The sequence below is a fragment of the Homo sapiens genome, chromosome 2 (genome assembly GCF_000001405.40).
Source record: "Homo sapiens chromosome 2, GRCh38.p14 Primary Assembly".
NCBI lineage: Eukaryota > Metazoa > Chordata > Mammalia > Primates > Hominidae > Homo > Homo sapiens.
The window spans coordinates 224,900,754-224,920,856 of NC_000002.12; the positions used below are offsets into that span (position 1 = coordinate 224,900,754).

The 20,103-nt window shown below is 39.1% G+C and overlaps 1 protein-coding gene across 23 annotated transcripts in view; it reads right to left on the reverse strand.

Annotated features, from left to right (window-relative positions):
- DOCK10 (dedicator of cytokinesis 10) overlaps positions 1-20,103 on the reverse strand; it is a 277,379-nt gene that overhangs the window by 135,664 nt on the left and 121,612 nt on the right. For all 23 annotated transcript variants that reach the window (XM_047444930.1, XM_047444929.1, XM_047444922.1 and 20 more), the window contains exon 3: positions 15,942-16,031. In XM_047444930.1, coding sequence (XP_047300886.1) covers positions 15,942-16,031 — 90 coding nt within the window. The remainder of the gene's footprint in view (positions 1-15,941; positions 16,032-20,103) is intronic.

Consider the following 20,103-nt stretch of genomic DNA (forward strand, 5'->3'; position numbering starts at 1 on the left):
AGCCCTCAATAAGTACTTGCTTAACAACATCAGTTTTCTCAGCAAGTTTGTTTCAATCTATAATTCACATTCACAACAGTTAATAATAACAATTTATATTCCTTGATTATTAAAAATGAAGTATTTGAGAAATATATTAGGTCTGATTATCAAAGGGTTCTGTTTAATGAAATTACTTCTGATTTTATTTGCTAGGCTTTATATATCTGGTGGTGGGTAGATGAGAATCACAGTTAGACTAGATGACTCCTAAGAATGCTTCTAAATCTGTGATTTCTGTGATTTTGAGAAAGCCAGTGCATTTTACAAACACATAACCATTTCTCCTACATAGTTATGGCATTTTGGAAATGTTACGCATAGAAAATTATTCTCTATTCTTTGTTCCAGCCCACACAGTCACTCTAAGGAGATCATTAAAAACTATTATAATTATGACTACAGCTCCTCTTTGTCCAAAATCTAAGCTGAAATGATCTGTTGCAAATTCAAAGTCACAGGCTACAACTCTGCTTGGTACAGTAAGACAATGACTCCAATTTTCCCCTACTGACTTCCCAGCCCACGGCACCTGTTTCAAAATGCCAGCTCCTCATCCCCTTTCAACTGGAGGCTGCCACAGTCAGCTTCAAAGGCAAAGGCTGTGAATATTGAGCAAGAGCTTTCTGAGATGGTTAATTACTCCAAACAGCGATGTCCTGGCTCATCTTTTTTCATTTATTATGTTTGCTTAGTTAGCTTTTATGCTTGCCATCTCTGCCTGTATGTGTTTAGACACCAAAAAGCAGGCCAAAGTCAACATGGTCAAAGGCTTTTGTGCCATGAGGATAGAGTTTCCTAAAACGTATATGTCCATGGTCCTTGGAGTGGATAATTAAAATTCAGGCTCCTGGGTCTCACTTGAGATCCACGGAATCAGAATCTCTAGAGGGAGTGCCAAGAAATCTACATTGTAAAAAGTACTACAGGTGATTCTGAAGGACATAGAGAAATGTTGCTACTTCACCAGGTAGATTCCATGATTCCACATGAGTGATAATGTGGTCCAGTCCTTGTCTGACCATGAACGGAGAGCCTTGGGGTCCTAGTTTCACACAGTGGATTCTAGTAGCTGGAATTATCTTCTTGTTTTCACTCATCTAGACACAGCCTTTTAAAAGGACATATCAACTCCAGTATGAGGTTTTATTTATAGTGGACGTTCAATATTTATTTGTTAAATCAATGATCATCTGTATCATTTTCTTCTGGAAATGACAACAAATGATACTTTGAAAGTTCTAAAAATCTAAATGTTTAAAAATGAGTGGGCTATTATAAAGAACACCCTAAGGTGCTGTAAAGAAAATATTTCATTTTTCTCCTTGTTCCTCTGCTCCAGATAATCATTAGAATCAATTCAAATCATGTTACATACCTCAAATAGCAATTTGGGTTTGGCAATGCAATTTGTTCATCTCGTAAAAGGGTTGATTATTGAATTCTGGCTACATAGTAATAAGCAAGTAACATTTTTTTTTCAGATGCAAAATTATTTTTCTTTCTGGCTATAGAGGTTTATTTAATTACCTGACTAGGTTCTTGCCAGAAAGATTAATGCAAGCATAAATGGTGTTCATTTTGGCCCTTAGTCACCACTGGAAATAATTCTGTATTTGTAAAACGATGGTGGCAATTTTAGTATTCATGCCGTTCTTTATAAAGTTGAGAAGTAATTGTGGCTATTGTATAAATGTTGAAAATGAAGCATCATGAAATTGAGTTTAGGCAAATTATGCATTGAAAGAGTGGCCAGATAATTTATTGTTCACACTGAGACATTTCAGAGTGAAAAGAGGCACTATTAGCAAGGTTGACCCTTAGAACATGAGACTGTTCCTGCAAACCAGGATGTGTGGGTCACCCAACACATTGACATTTTAGTGAAAAAGAGAAAAGGCACTGAAAACATTTTTTTTTTTTTGGTCTTCAACTAGATCACACCATGTGTTCTTTTAAAGTGTAATAATTAGTTTCTGCAGTATACAAACCAGTTGAACAGTTAATATTTAAAAACTTGGCTGGGCGCGGTGGCTCACGCTTGTAATCCCAGCACTTAGGGAGGCCAACGCGGGCAGATCATGAGGTCAGGAGACCGAGACCATCCTGGCTAACACAGTGAAACCCCGTCTCTACTAAAAATACAAAAAAAAAAATTAGCCGGTTGTGGTGGCAGGCGCCTGTAGTCCCAGCTACTCGGGAGGCTGAGGCGGGAGAACGGCGTGAACCCGGGAGGCGGAGCTTGCAGTGAGCCGAGATTGCGCCACTGCTCTCCAGCCTGGGCGACAGAGCGAGACTCCGTCTCAAAAAACCAAAACAAAACAAACAAACAAACAAAAAAACTTATACCACACACTCTTGAGGCAGAAGTACAAATAATGAATTTGGGCAAAATAAATAATGTAAATATAAGAATGTCTCAGTTTCAGAAATCACAGCACGATCTAATTTAATAGATCTAATTTAACTGATTCTGGTTTTTAAAAAATACTACTTGATATAAGATGGTGTTACAATATATATAAGCATGCATGCCCATTTGTAAAATATAATGTCATATCAAGGGCCAATCCAGGGGAAAATCATTTTAAGACGATTTTGTTGCTTTGAACTACAGTAGCCTAAATTTTCATTCAGTATTTTATTCATGGTAAATTGAAAGTGAACCAAAATATTTGGTTTCTCTTTTCAAAATGTGCTGTGTTAAGGCAGTTGAATAAATTATAAAAGTAGACTTTTTGACCTGGGAACATGCACTGTAATTTCCCAGCTAGATCTCACAAGTCATTTGTCAGGACATGAATGATGGATGGTACTAAAACACCTTGGTACTATTATGATCCAATCATTGCTCTCATGTAAGGCATAAAAACTGGGTCATTTTTCAGTGCAATTGAAATTTTAGGTTCAAACTTAAAAATGGGTTCTTTTTTATTCTTATGCTCCAAAGCCTCTAACTTGTACATTTGTGTTTTACTGATTTACTGCCAAACATTTTAGGGGGATTTTTATTGTGGAGAAGGGAAAGCCAATTTAGAGTTGGAGGAGGTTTTCATATTTGGAAACAAGACTATTATTCTAGAAATTTTAGTGAATAGAAAATAAGTTTCTTCAGAGTTCTTAATGTGAAACACGTAACCATTTTGTTTTCATTTTTCAACTGTTTTTCCAGATATATTTTATCCTAAGTTCAGTAAATAATACATGCACTTGAATTTATCTTAATCATTTTTTGTGTATTTATTACCTTTAGTGTTATACATTTAGTGTAAAAAAATTGGGGCGATCCATTTTGTTTTGGCCATGATAGGAATATAGTCACCACATATGAACACATCTAGGCCAAATGTAAGACAACAGATTTTAATATCTTAATTTTTCCATTACATTTTTAAAGTCATTAAATAAACATGGCTTTAAATTTATTTTGTAAAAAGTACACACCCAATAAAAAGTTCCTTAACTTCCAACAAGATTTTCATCAGCAAGACCTTCATTAGTGAATGAAGAGCCTTATTTTTCAAAAAATAAAAATCCAAAACCCCCAAAACAAAACCAAAATAAAAATAAAACATACATACAAATATTTTTATCTACATGAATTTTATTAAGAAAGAATGTAACCTTTTAAAAATTTTGAAGCAACGTTTGTGGTTTCATTTTTTTCTCAATATGCTGTAGAAATTTCAATTGTTCATATAGCCCTGAGGTCACACTATAGGAGTTAGTTCTAGGATGAGAAACTCCACACTAACTGTGCTCTGGTCTAAAGTTAAATACATATGAGTCATTCATTTGCTGCCCAGTGTTTCAGGATCAGAAAACAGCATTCATTTTTACTTAATTTATTTATACATGCAACCCACTCTCCCAAATCAACTAGTAAGAGACATTCTTATATATGGGCAAGTGTGAGTGCACAGTATTCTACACATGAGATTCAAAAATTAGTATGAAGCATACTAAACAAAGGCATTTTGGTCAAAAGAATGGTTTCTTTGTCAGCTTACATAATATGTGGTCCAAAATTAAACACAAAGCATATAGAATTATTTTAACTATAAAAGTAAAAAAAGAAATTCCCCATGTTTTCTTGAGACAAGATAAATTTCATTCTAGTTAGATATATTTCTTTCAGTTAAAAATGAGCAGCATGAAGTACTTTTAAATTATAGCCAACTCCCCCTCCTCTGTAATTTTCTTCACTATGTTTAGGACGCAAGTCTTATCTTGAATATTCATAATTTTCTCCTGAATTAATTAAATGCCACTTGTCTGAGTCCAAATGTGCAAGGGAAGAAGAGGAAGACAAAGAGATTTCATTTTCAATATTATACTCATTGGATCTTATTGTTTTTCATGTTTACAGAATTTTGCTCTGCAATACATTAAGCAGTATTTTGGTACACAATTTAAAGATCAATAAACGGCCTATGGAACTATTTTTTTTTTTTTTTTTTTTTTTTGAGACGGAGTCTCGCTCTATCGCCCAGGCCGGACTGCGGACTGCAGCGGCGCGATCTCGGCTCACTGCAAGCTCCGCTTCCCGGGTTCACGCCATTCTCCTGCCTCAGCCTCCTGAGTAGCTGGGACTACAGGCGCCCGCCACCGCGCCCGGCTAATTTTTTTTGTATTTTTAGTAGAGACGGGGTTTCACCTTGTTAGCCAGGATGGTCTCGATCTCCTGACCTCATGATCCACCCGCCTCGGCCTCCCAAAGTGCTGGGATTACAGGCGTGAGCCACCGCGCCCGGCCTATGGAACTATTTTTAACTTTGGTATGCTTTGGGCACTCTGCCTGAAGAATTCTAATATTTTTATTGGGTTTATTCCTGAAGTGGGTTTATGCTTTGCAAGTAAAGGGACACCAATACCCAAATCCAGTGAGCCCCCATCTTGATTCTTCTTTGGCATTTTATGCCATTGATGCACTTTCTCTCGCTATTGACCCTTCTTCCTTAATTCTGAGATATCGGTATCTCCTTGTTCCCCGCTTTCCTCTCTGCCCACTCCTTCTCCATTCTTTACACAGGGTCCTCTTTGCCTGCCCCTTAGTGAGAGTGTGGCTCAGGGACCTGCCTTCTCAGTTCCAGCCCAATTCTCTGGTGTTCATGGGCATACTCTTCCAGGTTTAAAGCTTGAATTTTCAAATCTAGAGTAACTGCCCACACTTTCCTGTGCTCCAGACCTATGTATTTATCTTCTTCTTGGATCTCTCTCTGCATGTTGGCAAATAAGGTTATCTTCTTTGCTTCATCCTTCCAGCAATCTTCACTCTCTTCTGGGCACCTTATTTAAATGAATGGCACAACCATCTAGGTAATAGCCCAAGCCATAATTATGGGAGTCATCATAAACACATTCCTCTTCTTTACTTTATTTTCAGTCCCCAACTCCTGTCAATGCTATCTCCTTAATAGGTCTTTACCAGTACCACAATCGCATAGCCACACAGCTCTTTGTAATCATGCACCTGGACTATTAAAACAAATAGTCTCCTATCTGTTAGTACAGCTCTTTGTAATCATGCATCTGGACTATTAAAACAAATAGTCTTCTATCTGTCCAATTTTTCTTCAATCTTATTCCTTCCCAAGCCGACCAATCCATACTCTGGTATGCTTTTAGTTGTTTCTTCTGACAGGCAAACCTGACCTTGTTTATCTTCATTTATTTATTTATTTATTTTTAGATGGAATCTCACTCTGTCTCCCAGGCTGGAGTGCAGTGTGCTGGAGTGCAGTAGTGTGATCTCAGCTCACTGCAAGCTCCACCTCCTGGATTCACGCCATTCTCCTGCCTCAGCCTCCCGAGTAGCTGGGACTACAGGCACCTGCCACCATGCCCAGCTAATTATTTTGTATTTTTAGTAGAGACAGGGTTTCACCATATTAGCCAGGATGGTCTTGATCTCCTGACCTGGTGATCCGCCCGCCTTGGCCTCCCAAAGTGCTGGGATTACAGGCGTCAGTCACCGCACCCGGCCTTGTTTATCTTAAAGTAGTATACTCCAGGGGGTACTTGTCAGAGTGTGTCGTAGAAATCTAATCAGAGGTCTGTAACTTCTTGCCTGATGGTATGCACCTTGAGGGCAGGGACTGTGTTTAGCCAGTGGTTAAGCCCATGTTGGATAATGAACCTCCTCTAATCTTTCATCCAATGGTTGATTCTCTTTATCACATAATTTCAACACAATGTGATCTGTAGTAACAGTAAATCAGTGGGACAAGAAATTTCTATGTAAATTTCACTCTTTGTAAAGATAATTAGCTCCACCTAACTGAATTGCAATTAGCAGAGTCTTATATACCTCGTTTATGCCACCGGATTCACAGTTGCCCCTAGGACAAGAGAAAGGCTAATCTGATAATTAGGTAGGGGAATGAAGGGAGAAATTTAAGGGCTAAAAGAGTATTACACTGACATTTATGATCATTGTTAATTACTTCAAACTCTGAGAGTAACATTATTTATACTTATAATTTGCTGTATGAGGGTAAGTACATAGAACTACCATCACTGGGGCTTGTGCCGAATTGTGTCTTAGAATTGCATGACCTCCCTGAACACAGGTAGACATTTTCGATGCTAACAGTAAGAATTAAGAATAGAGGGCCAGGCGCGGTGGCTCACGCCTGTAATCTCAGCACTTTGGGAGGCTGAGGCGGGCAGATCACGAGGTCAGGAGATCAAGACCATCCTGGCTAACATGGTGAAACCCTGTCTCTACTAAAAATACAAAAAAATTAGCCGGGTGTGGTGGCGGGCCCCTGTAGTCCCAGCTACTCAGGAGGCTGAGGCAGGAGAATGGTGTGAACCAGGGAGGCGGAGCTTGCAGAGAGCTGAGATTGCGCCACTGCACTCCAACCTGGGCGACAGAGCGAGACTCCACCTCAAAAAAAAAAAAAAAAAGAATAGAGGTTTGGCCATGAAAAGAAAACAACTAATTTATCTGATCTCCTGGAGGGTTTAATATTTTCTTTTTCTGCATTAGAATCAGCCTGAATGAAATGCACATGCCGGTTCACCCAATTGTTGATTTCTGTTTTACTTGAACTACATTGTGCCTCTAGTTTCTGGTGATCTCCTTGGATCACATTTACATTAGCATTTCTCAAAGGTGTTTCTTAAAGATACTTGGAGAAAAATGGACAGAATTTCTACATGGTCAAATACATTTTAGAAATGTTTCATTTCATATCCCCTTCTAAGACAGTCTTGATGGATATTAGCTAATTAAAGACTCTGAATGTGTGTGTGTGTGTGTGTATGTTTCTATGTGTGTGAGACACTTAGGAACATCGTGCAGACCTAGCCTCTTGCCGAACGTTCTGTGCCTACATAAAGTTGGCTTCTGCCCTGATTTAAATGAGTTGTGTGTGTGTGTGTGTATGTGTGTGTGTGTGTGTGTATTTTTTATGGACAGCTAGAGATTTCAACAACATTTACTTCGCCTTAAATCATATTTGTATTTACCATTTAGTCTTGGGTCCTGTTTTCATTTTTGTTTTTTCCTTTCCAGAATTCATTTCTGGTTTGAACCCCTTGCTTAAAATCTGAACTTTTCCTTGCCCCGGTAGCCTAGTACTATTTGGATGAAGACAGTACATAATCATCATCGTTTGTGTGTGTGTGTGTGTGTGTGTGTGTGTGTGTGTGTACATGTGTAGATGTGGCTGTAGAGATAAGTATTTGCTTTTATTCTTTTTTATTTTTCTACGGACAGAGTCTCACTCTGTTGCCCAGGCTGAAGCTCAGTGGCATACGCATGGCTCAGTCATGCAGTCTCAAATTCCTGAGCTCAAGCCATCCTCCTGCATCGGCCTCCTGAGTATTTGGGACTGCAGGTGCACACCATCATGCCCAGCTAATTAAAAAGTTTTTTTTAGAGATAGAGTCTCACTATATGGCCCAAGCTGGTCTTGAACTCCTGAGATCAAGTGATCCTCTTGCCTTGGCTTCCCAAAGTGCTGGGATTACTGGTATAAGCCATTGCACCCAGCCTGCTTCTGTTCTTTCAATGTTATCATACCTCCTAAGTCCCCAAGAGTTTTATGCCATGATCAAAATGAGACTTGGATGAAGTCTCCTCACTTATCATTATTCTACTCCCGCAGCAGCATTGGTTTTCAGAAATCAGAGAGGGCTTTGTTGTCAGAGTAACTTGCTACCTTAGTACTTTGTCAGTATTTCTCTCAGCCATTCAGCTGAAGTGGTCCCTAGACCTTTGTTCCCTCTTGAGCCACTGTATTGTTCTCAATTCTTTGCTCCCTCATCTCCTTTTGTTAAGAGAGACTGAACCAAGAGCTTGGTTTTAATTAGTATGCTGAGCTTTCTTCCAACTTTATATGATCCCTTTGTGTATATTAAAATAAAAGCTTCGTTATAGAAGTTTTGCTTAGGAAGTTTGCATCCTATTTCTAGATCACTTTAATTGCCCCCCTCTCCTCCTCAAACCCCTTGTGGGAGTGGTGCTTGTTTTATCACGGAAGTGTTTAGATATTTTTTATGGTTATGGATGTTCATTTTAAGCCACTTAAGCAGATTCAGATAAAGACAATGCTCTCCAGTAGTTGTTTTCCAAGTGTTTTCATACTATTGCTATATTTATTTTCAGAATCACAGCATTAGGATTTTTCATATCCCTATTTAAAGATGGAAAAACTAAGGCAGAAAAGTTAATAGTTTGCCAAAATGAAGGATACGTTCCCTTGTGAGGAGTGGAAGTACCCTCATCCAGTCAGGCTAGTGAGCATGTGGTATAAAGGAACTTATCAAAGGATCAGAGACAATAAAATGTGTAAGAACATGGAATATTATGTCAAAGATAGCAAAGCCTTAATTCTGGCTCTGTGTGAACTTGGGCGAGTTCATTATTCACTCAGAGCCTGTTTTCTAGGCTGCAAAATGAGGTAGTAATACCTATTTCACAGAGTTCTCAAAAGTTTTCACATACACACAATGTATAAGCAACTGTGTACTCAACTAGAGCTTGATGTTAACATGCAGTGTTTTAATGGATGTGAAATAAGCCTATGCTTTTGTGTGGGGAATGTTTAATTTTACATTTAAGAGATAGGGAGGAGAATTAATAACAGATAAAACAGAAAAGGAAGAAGCTGTTCATTTTAGTGAACTTCCATTAAAATATGATGTCATTGAAGATTAAAAAAAAGAAAAGAATGCCTAATGCCTTTCATGAGAAGCTGAGAATTGTCAAAGTAGAGAGCAGTGAGAGAAAACTCAAATTTTTTACTGAGCTGGATGTGTTGAAACTAGATTCTTGCCAATCTGTTGCCTAGCAACCATGGTATTTGCCCTTGCCACCCCACAGTGAGCCGCAGGGCAATGTAGCACAGGGTGGACCAATAACGTTGCTTAATACACTTGTGGTAGGTCAAGCAAGTGTTTCTACAAAGCTCTACAAACGTCAATGAATTCATTTCAGTGCTAGCATAATCTAGTTTCAAAAATCCAGCCAATGTTCCTGAAAGTGTGGCCCACTGACTGTATGCATCAGAGTCACCTGAGCAGAAACCACAGTGGGGCTGTGAGGGTGAAGACTCAGAGAAGTTTTCTTTCCAGAGGAACATAGCAATTTTATAGCAAAACACCCTATTGGCAGTTAGCATCGCAGTTAGGAGCCCAGGGACGGAGCTGGTGGCATGTGTCCAGATGTTGGATCTGTCTATTCCTGGTTGTCTAATGCTGGCTGGGCAAGTTTCTTAATATTTCTATGACATAGTTTCCTTGTTATTAAAAGGTGATAATGATGATAATAACAAACATATGTTTGTAATTGCTACAAGTAAAGGGCTTAGAAGTGTATCTGGCACAAAGTAAGCAGTCAATAAAGGTTAGCTGCTATTAGCAATTGGGGTCAAGACTTTTTGCAGTGTAATTCTCTGGGACCATTTCCCAGTCTTAGCTCAGCTCTTTGGTGACCTCTTTCTTCTTATCTGCTGTCTCCAGGCCTGACTATTCATGTTCCATTATCATCACGGGATATTTGTAAGCAGGGCTTATCTTCTTCCCATCCTATGAAGCACAGGTTTCACTTTATCTTTATCCTTAAAATCAAGGACTACTATGGGAGTTTTTGCAGGGTTTTCAGTACTAGTGACACAGAAAAATTAGCAGGGAATAAGGTAGTTTTGTCCCAGTCTTCCTCCTTTCTCTCTCCCTTTTTTTTTTCTATTTTAGATCCATACAGTTGAGAAAAAATATGATAAGAAGATTCATTCATGTTGCCCAAGAGAGTTGAATGTTCTGTCCTGAGCTTTGCAACATAAAAGTTTAGCATATATTTGGGATCTAGGGCGAAAGGCACTCTACTTGGTTTCTCCTTGGAGCAGTTCTTAGAGAAGTAAGACGCTGAGGTACAAGAGAGAAAAGAAGTCTACAAGCAGTTGAAAGGGAATTAAGGTGGGAACAAAAGTGAAGGTGAGAAATTTCCCCCAAGGAGCAATAATAAAATAAAGGCAAATTTTGTTGTCAACTTGTCCTCAGCTGAAGGTGACATTCTCAGAGAACTACGGATAGATGAAAAGATCTATCTGGACATTTGAAGTTGTGAGGTAGAAGCTCTTGAAGCACAAGCAAAACTGAAGGCCTCTGGGAACCCTAGAATAGTCCTTTGAAGTCTCTTGTGTTGTATGGATCCACTTATCTGCTTTTCATGCTATCTTTCCCCTGGAAAAGTAGCTACACTTGAAACTTGGTTGGATCTAGAGATTGGGGGTGAAGGTTCTGAATGGTCCCAGAATTTAGAGTTCAGGCTAACTGGCCCCTATCTTGAAAGCATGCCTGGCAATAAAATGAGGCAGTGTTAATAGGCAGGAGCTGAAGGAGGCTGGCAGCCAAATCCAAGGCTCTGAAAGCCTTGGGTTCTAGAGACTCAGAGCCACAAGCTAGGAACATTTGTTCATGTGAGAGCAATTGGAAACTGCTGAAAGCTGGAAATATACAAATGCCGTATACACCCCCAAAGAGAGCAAAAGGACCATGAAATGAAAAGTTCCTAAAACGATAGAAACATTTATAAATCCGTTGTAGTTGGATTAAAAACAACTGATAATGGACTATGTTTGCTGAATGTAATTGACTTCTATGACAGAAAGACAAGCCCAACAGATGGAATCCTAAAGCAAGACACGCATGAGATTTTGAGTGCTCCACATGCCATTTTCATCAGCAAACTAAAACAATAATAATAATAATAAAGAATCTGAAGTAGTCTTTTAGGTATTTATCTAATGACTTGAAGAATTATGTTGGATTTTTAACTTTTGCAGACAAGTTTAGGCAACAGGCTTCAGTTGCTTCCAATTCTGGCAGCATTTAAAAATACATTTTTTTTTTTTTTTGAGTGGAGTTTTGCTCTTGTTGCCCAGGCTGGAATGACGCGATCTCAGATCACTGCAACCTCCGCCTTCTAGGTTCAAGTGATTCTCCTGCCTCAGCATCCCAAATAGCTGGGATTACACGCATGTGCCACTACTCCCGGGTAATTTTGTATTTTTAGTAGAGACAGGGTTTCACCATGTTGGTCAGGCTGGTCTCAAACTCCTGAGCTCAGGTGATCCACCCGCCTCGGCTTCCCAAGGTGCTGGGATTACAGGAGTGAGCCACCATGCCCAGCTGCCCCCATCTCTACTAAAAATATATTCTAACTAATTTTTTCCAAAATAGCTTTTAAATTACAAAATTTATGTGTAATAGCACAACAGAAGAGAATTATATAAGTTGAAAATCAATCTCTCCCCTCCCACTAGAGTCCCAAACTTGTGAGGTAGCCAATGTTATGAGTTTGATGTGTGCATTCTTTTATACTTTTCCTAGCCTTATATAAACATATTTGTGTATATATGTATAGGTTTTATATCTTTCGTGATATCATACTACAATTCTGTGACTTGCTTTTTTCTCCTAACAATATATTATGGGCATCAGGCCGGGCATGGTGGCTCACGCCTGTAATCCCAGCACTTTGGGAGGCTGAGGTGGGTGGATCACTTGAGGTCAGGAGTTTGAGACCAGTGTGGCCAACATGGTGAAACCCCATCTCTACTAAAAATACAAAAGTTAGCCAGGCATGGTGGTGGGCGCCTGCAATCCCAACTACTTGGGAGGCTAAAGCAGGAAAATCGCTTGAGCCCAGGAGGTGGGGGTTGCAGTGAGCAGAGATCGTGCCAGTGCTCTCCAGCCTGGGTGACAGAGGAAAGACTCCATCTCCAAAAAAGAAAGAAAAAAAAATCATGGGCATCAAAACTAAGCTATTTAAATAGATATAATTTTTTATTTGTTTTATATTATTACAAAATATAAATGTGAAAAAATTTTAGCCTCACCCTTATTAATTGATAATTCAAAATTTCCAATGCAGCATATATGTCTTATGAATTACATTTCAAAAGTTACAGATGTGAGTATTTCAAACATCATGTGATCGTGTTTCTTTCACTATATTGTTATTATTGCTAAATGGTATTTATCTTAAATTTTTTCTTCCCTAAAATTATTCTTTTAATTTCTATTTCCATGACTACTAGTGAGGCTGAGCAACCTTGTATGTCTCTTAGCCTACTGCATTTCTTCTTTTAAGCAGCCTGGCCATATCTTTTGCTCATATTTTCTCCGGTTATTTGTCTTTTTAAAAATTAATTTGTAGGATTTTGAATACTAGGAATGTATGTATTTATATGTGAGTGTGTGTGAGTGTGTGTGTTCAGCAAAAGACATAATGAGTTACAAATGATTTCTCTGATTAAATATTTTATTTTGACTCTGTGTATGGTACTGTACATTTGTCATATACAAATTTTAATTTTTTATTTGGTTAAATCTGTCAGTTTTCCCTAACTTCCCACTTAAAAATGTTTTCCTACATTTTTATAACCTTTGTTTTTATTTTGTTTGTTTGTCTGTTTATTTATTTATTTATTTATTTATTTGAGACAGAGTCTCCCTCTGTTGCCCAGGCTGGAGTGCAGTGGCACAATCTCAGATCACTGCAAGCTCCGCCTCCCAGGTTCACACCATTCTCTGGCCTCCCCCTGCTGAGTAGTTGGGACTACAGGCACCCGCCACCACGTCTGGCTAATTTTTTGGTTTTTTTTTGTATTTTTAGTAGAGACGGGGTTTCACCATGTTAGCCAGATGGTCTCGATCTCCTGACCTCGTGATCCGCCTGCCTTGGCCTCCCAAAGTGCTGGGATTACAGGCATGAGCCACCTCACCCGGCCTATAACCTTTGTTTTTAAAACTTAGATTCTTTTTTTCATCTGGAATTTATTTTTGTATGTAATATGAGATATGGACACAACTTTATTTTCTTCCAAAATGGATAGTTGAGTAGTATTTGTTGAATTGGCCACTCTTCCCCAGAGACTTTGAAGTGCCATCTTTACTATTTCTTAAATAATACTATGCACTTAAATTTGTTTTAGGTATTTTTTGTTTCACTGGTTTATTTGTTCATTCCAGAACACAGAAAAAGATGTAGAGTGCCCCAATTTATTTTTTAAAGCTAGCATCTCTCTAAGGAAAGGAAAAAAGAAAACAAGAGCCAAATTTCACTCATAATATAAACTCCAAAATTTGAAATAAAGTAAAAACAATTAGAAGGCAACTCGGTATTAAGGTAATAATACAACTTGAAGTAGAAAGTTTATACCAGAAATACAAGTAGGGATCCACAGGACAAAAGCCCATTGATTTTATTACAGTGCTAACTAAAACAGAAAAGCTGTTGTATTAATAGGACGCATATGCATGTGATAACAGGGCAGCCAGTCTTTATAAACACTCTAAAATTTCATAGAGAGACACCTTTTAAAACACAATAAAGAAACGCCAGAAACGAACATAAAACACCATCTTTCATAAAGGATGAAAGAATACTAAGGTCTCCCCCTAAATTCAAGAAAAAGACATATTGCCTGGTATTAGCATTATTATTCAATATTGTTTTAGGGATATAAAATAATAGAATAAGATAAAAATCAAAGAAACAATATACTTATTAGAAAAGAAGAAAATTTTACTTGTTTACGCCTACACACCTAAGAAATTAAATACGAACTATTAGGATAAGAGTTTAGCAAGCTAGTTATTCATATTAGGAAATCAACAGCTTTTGAAAAATATCAGTAATTAACAGTAAGAATTAATTCATTAAGTAATTAACAGTAAGAAAAAGAAATGGAGTTTTAAAATTCCACTCAGATTTGTGACAAAGTTATAAGGACCTTAGAATAAATTTTACAACAAAGTTAAAGATCTTTATGAAGAAAATGCAATGTATTTCTGAAGAATGCACAAGACCTGGTTAAACTTCCCCATTAGGAAGTCAATGTTATAAAAATGTCAAATCCTGCCTAAGTTAACACATATTTATTGCAGACCTGGTTTGAATAAGTCTGATTGTCTGGTATAAAAAATTATTTGCCAACTTTTTTAAAGAATAGTGACACCCTACTGTATGCTAAGACTTTCTCTAAGGCAACTCTAAACAAAATATTATCATACTGATATCACACACTATTTTTATCAGTAAATGTGAAAACAGTATTCTCAGATATCCTGATGTTATCTGAGTCTGCATTTTTTCTTTTTTCTATCTCCTTAAAAGGTATTGTAATGCAATGTGAACTTTGGGAAATACATTCAAAATAATGGAATTGGGAAAAAAAAGACCGATAAAACAATGATCTGAACTGAACAGTACAACAGAAAATATGTACAGTCATATTTGTATTAATATGTACATTAATAAGGCTAGCTTATGTAACATAAATATGTTAAGAGCCGAGAAAAGATATTGCTATCGTATGCAGCTTTAATGAATTCCTAGTTGGGACACACCACTTTCTCAGGATTCAAGACTGAACTTAGATTCCACTACTTTCAGTTTGACCTGTGCTGGGCTAAATTTTGTCACCATATTTTCTATAAGGAAAGGATAAGCATCATTTATTTATTCAGTAAACATCTGCTAAGTAGCTGCTATGCACTGGCTCAATTCCTGCTCTAAAGCTGCCTGGAGTCTGGTTAGAAGAGAAAGAAGCTGTTTTGTAGGCCTCTTATACACCAATAAAATGCAAGTCAATGCTATACCCAGAGATGTTCTATCAGTCCCTGATGTAGTTTGGCTATGCGTTCCCACCCAAATCTCATGATGAAATGTAATCTCCAATGTTGAAGGTGTGGCCTGGTGGGAAGCGTTTGGATCATGGGGGTGGATCCCTCATGAAAGGCTTGTGCCATCCCCTTGGTGATACATGAGCCCTAGCTCTGAGTTCACATGAGATCTGGCCATTTGGCTGGGCACAGTGGCTCATGCCTGTAATCCCAGCACTTTGGGAGGCCAAGGTGGGCAGATCACTTAAGGTCAGGAGTTTGAAACCAGCCTAGCCAATATGGTGAAACCCCATCTCTACTAAAAATACAAAAATTAGCCTGGCATGGCCGGACGCGGTGGCTCATGCCTGTAATCCCAGCACTTCAGGAAGCTGAGGTGGGTGGATCACTTGAGGTCAAGAGTTCGAGAGCAGCCTGGCCAACATGGCGAAACCCTGTCTCTACTAAAAATACAAAAATTAGCCAGGTGTGATGGCGTGTGCCTGTAATCCCAGCTACTTGGGAAGCTGAGGCACAAGAATTGCTTGAACCTGGGAGGCGGAGGCTGCTGTGAGCAGAGGTGGTGCCACCACACTCCAGCCTGGGTGACAGAGTGACACCCTCCCTCAAAAAAAAAAAAAAAAAAAAAAGACATCCACTAGTTAGAATATTTGGAATTATCTATTGAAAATGACAGGAAGATAATAATAGTAAATTGCATTGAGAATCCCCTGGGAAAAAGCAAAAGCCTTAAAATAAAGCATTGGAAGCATCACATTTACCTCCTTAACCAGTAAATTTTCTGCCTTGTGCTCTGCATCTTCAGGTACTGTTGAGTACAACGTGCGGATATCCCAGGAAACTGTGGCTGCCTGAAACGAACAATGAAAAGAAATTGAGTCCTCCGGCTTAGAAGTGTCGAGCAGACCAGCACACTGAACACACAAAAGGGAAGTCTTTTAGATCTTAGTATTTAAAGTTAACAGAAGACAGAGACACTTCTGTAGTTCTTCCCAATTTAATCTCTAGGAGAGAAGATGTGGACATTTATTTGATTACCAGTACTAGTATTTTTACAACAGTTACTGTTTTATTAGTGTAGCTCATAGTTTTAAGCTGTTCCCCCTTTGCAGAAAACAAAAATTTAGGCATCTATATGTTTTCAATTTAGCTGATTTCTATTGGAATCTTTTTTTTTTTTTTTTTTTTTTGAGACGGAGTCTTGCTCTGTCGCCCAGGCTGGAGTGCAATGGCGTGATCTTGGCTCACTGCAACCTCCGCCTCCCAGGTTCAAGCGATTCTCCTGTTGCAGCCTCCCTAGTAGCTGGGATTACAGGTGCCCACCACCACCCCCAGCTAATTTTTGTATTTTTTAGTAGAGACAGGGTTTCACCATGTTGGCCAGGCTGGTCCTGAACTCCTGACCTCAGGTAATCCACCCGCCTCGGCCTCCCAAAGTGGAATCTTTTTTATTATTGCTGCTAAGGCTAAAATAAATTTGAAATGAAGAAGAAAACTTACAAAGTCAGCATTATTTTAATAATATCGTAAATAATCTCAAATATCAAAGGATAAACACAGTCCCTTTTAGAAGCTAACTGTGCGTGTGTGCGTGTGCCTGTGTGTGCACATGTAGTTGTAGTTAGGGGTGGGAAGGAAGAAGGAGTGTTTAGTAAATCTGAACCTTGAAAAAAATAGGTTGTGTTTTTGGTGTCTTTATTTTTGCTGAAATAAGAAAACTTTTTCAACTTCCATGCTAAATAAACAATATTCTTTTAAATGAATATATGTTAATTAATATATAAAGTACTTCTTAAAACAAAACATCACAAACAGAATTTCATAGATTATTGCCTCTTATATGTCTTCAGTCCATGAAGCACAGGAGAATGAAATGCCCTAAAACAGCAAGTTTCCACTTCCAGCCATCTGCTTCCTTTAGTCTGTGCACCTCAGTAGTTACAGGGATTCTCAGGTGATGAGTCTGTGACATCCATGGTACCAACAGCTGAGATCTCGTATATTGCACATCCCCCAAATCACAGCTATTCATTTAAACTGCTCTAGATTAGCTGTTGGAACAGATAAGAATCTCCAAACCCATCCTCAGTATTGGAGAAGATGGGTAGGGAGGGGTCAAGGGAGTTTTGTCTTCCGAGTTCACAGACCTTGCTGGCAGCTCTGCCACCAAGGGCGGCGTCCTTCCCATCATTCCTTCTCTTCCAATCCTGGACTCTTATTTTCTCCAAATCTCTCCTTTCTTCACTCCTGATGTAAGTGCAGGACATTTTATTTTGTTCACTTATAACCTCAGTGCTAGTTGGATACCTAAATGATTCTTTGTTGAATTTATTGACTGTGTGTACATGTGTATTCCATAAGAGGATGAGAGTGTGTGGGAGCATATATGAGTGTGTGTGGGGTGTGTGTGTGTGAGCATGTGCAATTGGGTGGGTGTGTCTGTGCAATGAGTGTGTGGAGTGTGTGTGCATGAGAGTGTGTTGCATTTGAGTGCGTGTGTTCGTATGGTGTGTGTATGTGTTATGTGAGCATGTGTGGTGAGTTTGTGGTGCGGTGTGTGTGTGTGTGGTGTGCGTGTATGTGTAGTGTTAGAGTGTGTGACGAATGTGTATATGTGTGAGTGTGTGTGGTGAGTGTGTATGTGTATGTGGTATGAGTGTGTGTGGTGCGTGTGTATGTGGGGTGTGTGTATGTATGTACTTGTGGTGTGTGTGTGGTGTGTATATGGTGTGAGTATGAGTGTGGTTTGGGTCTGTGAGCATGTGCAATTGAGTGTAGTGTGTATGTGCAATGAGTATGTGTGTTAGTGTGTATACATGAGTGTGTCGCATTTGAGTGCATGTGTATGTGTAATGTGAGTGTGGTAGTGTATGTGTGGTGTGAGTGTATGTGTGGTGTGAATGTGGGCATGTGTGGTGTGTGTGTGGCGTGTGTGAGTGTGTGTATATGTATGTGTGGTGTGAATGTGTGTATGGTGTGTGTGGTATGTGTGGTGTGTATGTGTGGTGTGAATGTGTGTGGTGTGTGTGTGTATGTGTGGTGTGTGTGTTTGTGGTAAGTGTATGTGTATGTGTGATGTATATACGCACAGGGTGTGTGTGGTGAGTGTATGTGTGGTCTGTGTGGTGTATGTGTGGTGTGTGTGTGTGGGGAGTGTGTGTATGTATGTGTGGTGAGTTTATGTGTATGTGTGGCACGTATATGTGTGGTGTGTGTATGTGTGGTGTGTGGTGGGTTTGTATGTGTGTGATGTGTATGTGTGGTATGAGGGTGTGTGGTGTGTATGTGTGGTGTGAATGTATGTGGGTGTGTGGTATGTGAATGTGTGTAGGTTTGTCTGCATGTGTATGTCTGTACACATGTGAATGGGTGTGATGTGTCAGTGTGAGTGTGTGGTGTATGTGTGGTATGAGTATGTGTGATGTGTGTCTGTATAGGTGGTGTGAATGTATGTGGTGTGTGTGGTATATGAATGTGTGTAGAGTGTGTCTGCATGTGTAGGTCTGTACACATGTGAATGGGTGTGATGTGTCAGTGTGAGTGTGGATGGTGTGTATGTGTGGTGTGAGTGTGTACGTGTGGTGTGAATGTGTGTGGTGTGTCTGGTATGTGAATGTGTGTGGAGTGTGTCTGCATGTGTATGTGTGTACATGTGTGAATGAATGTGATGTGTCAGTGTGTATGTGTGGTGTGAATGTGTGTGGTGAGTGTTGTGTGTGTGTAGAGTGTGCGTGTGTCTGTCCACGTGTGAATGGGTGTGATGTGTTGGTGTGAGTGTGTGTGCATGTGCACATGCATGTCGGGAAGCACGGGGTTTGTATCCTGTGAAAGAGGAAGAATGCCATGTAGATTTAATAAGATCAGAGGATGAAAAATAATGAGAAAACTAGGATCTAGAGACATCAATGATGAAAATGAATGCTCGCCCTAAAGCACAGCTGTGGACTGAGCTCCCTGGGCCACTGCACTTGCTCCAGGATTTAACTGCAGCTGTATACTCAGAAGAGGCTGTGGCTACCAATTCAAACCAGGCATAGGTGCAGGGAGCAAGCATAGTGCCACGGATGGAACAGGGAGCCGTTGCTTTGCATGCAAAGTAAGATAGAGCCAATTTGGATCTTATTATTTACATTTTACTTTTTGTTGCTGTTGTTGTTGAGACAGGGTCTCATTCTGTTGGCCAGGTTGCAGTGCAGTGGTACAATCACAGCTCACAGCAGCCTCGACCTCCGGGGCTCCAGTGATCAGCCTCCCCAGTAGTTGAGACTACAGGTGCGCACCACTATGCCTGGCTAATTTTCACTTTTTTTTTTTTTTTTTTGTAGAGACAGGGTCTCACCATGTTGTCCAGGATGGTCTCCAGCTCCTGGACTCAAGTGATCTGCCTGTCTCGGCTTCTCAAAGTGCTGGGATTACAGGCATGAGCCACTGTGCCTGGCCTACATTTTACATTTTTAATTCCTTTAGAGTTCCCTTCTTCAAGTTGCTTATTTTATGCTATTCACTCTGTTAGAAGATAAATAGTAAATAAACTATATTGAAGTTTTGGAGTAGAATATTAAGAACCATGCCTAAATTGAGCTTTGGGGATTACTGCTGAATTTAAATGATCTGGGATGCCTTTGTTTCCTATTCGGATGGATAATTTACAGATATATGGTGTTGCTTGGTTTCCAGGGAATATTACATATTATAATCTACTGGGAACATTAGACATTTTTCTTTCTAATTAAAAAAAAATTCTATATTATGGCCATTATTAATAAAATTTTTATACAAAAATGCAAGCTATTCCTCTTTTCCATTTTCCACTAGAGTCTCCATTGCTTTCTTGACTTTTTAAAAAAATACTTTAAGTCTGATGGAGAGTAGAGTAACATGGCCCAGAATTAAGCTTATAATTAAGTAAAACATAAATAATAA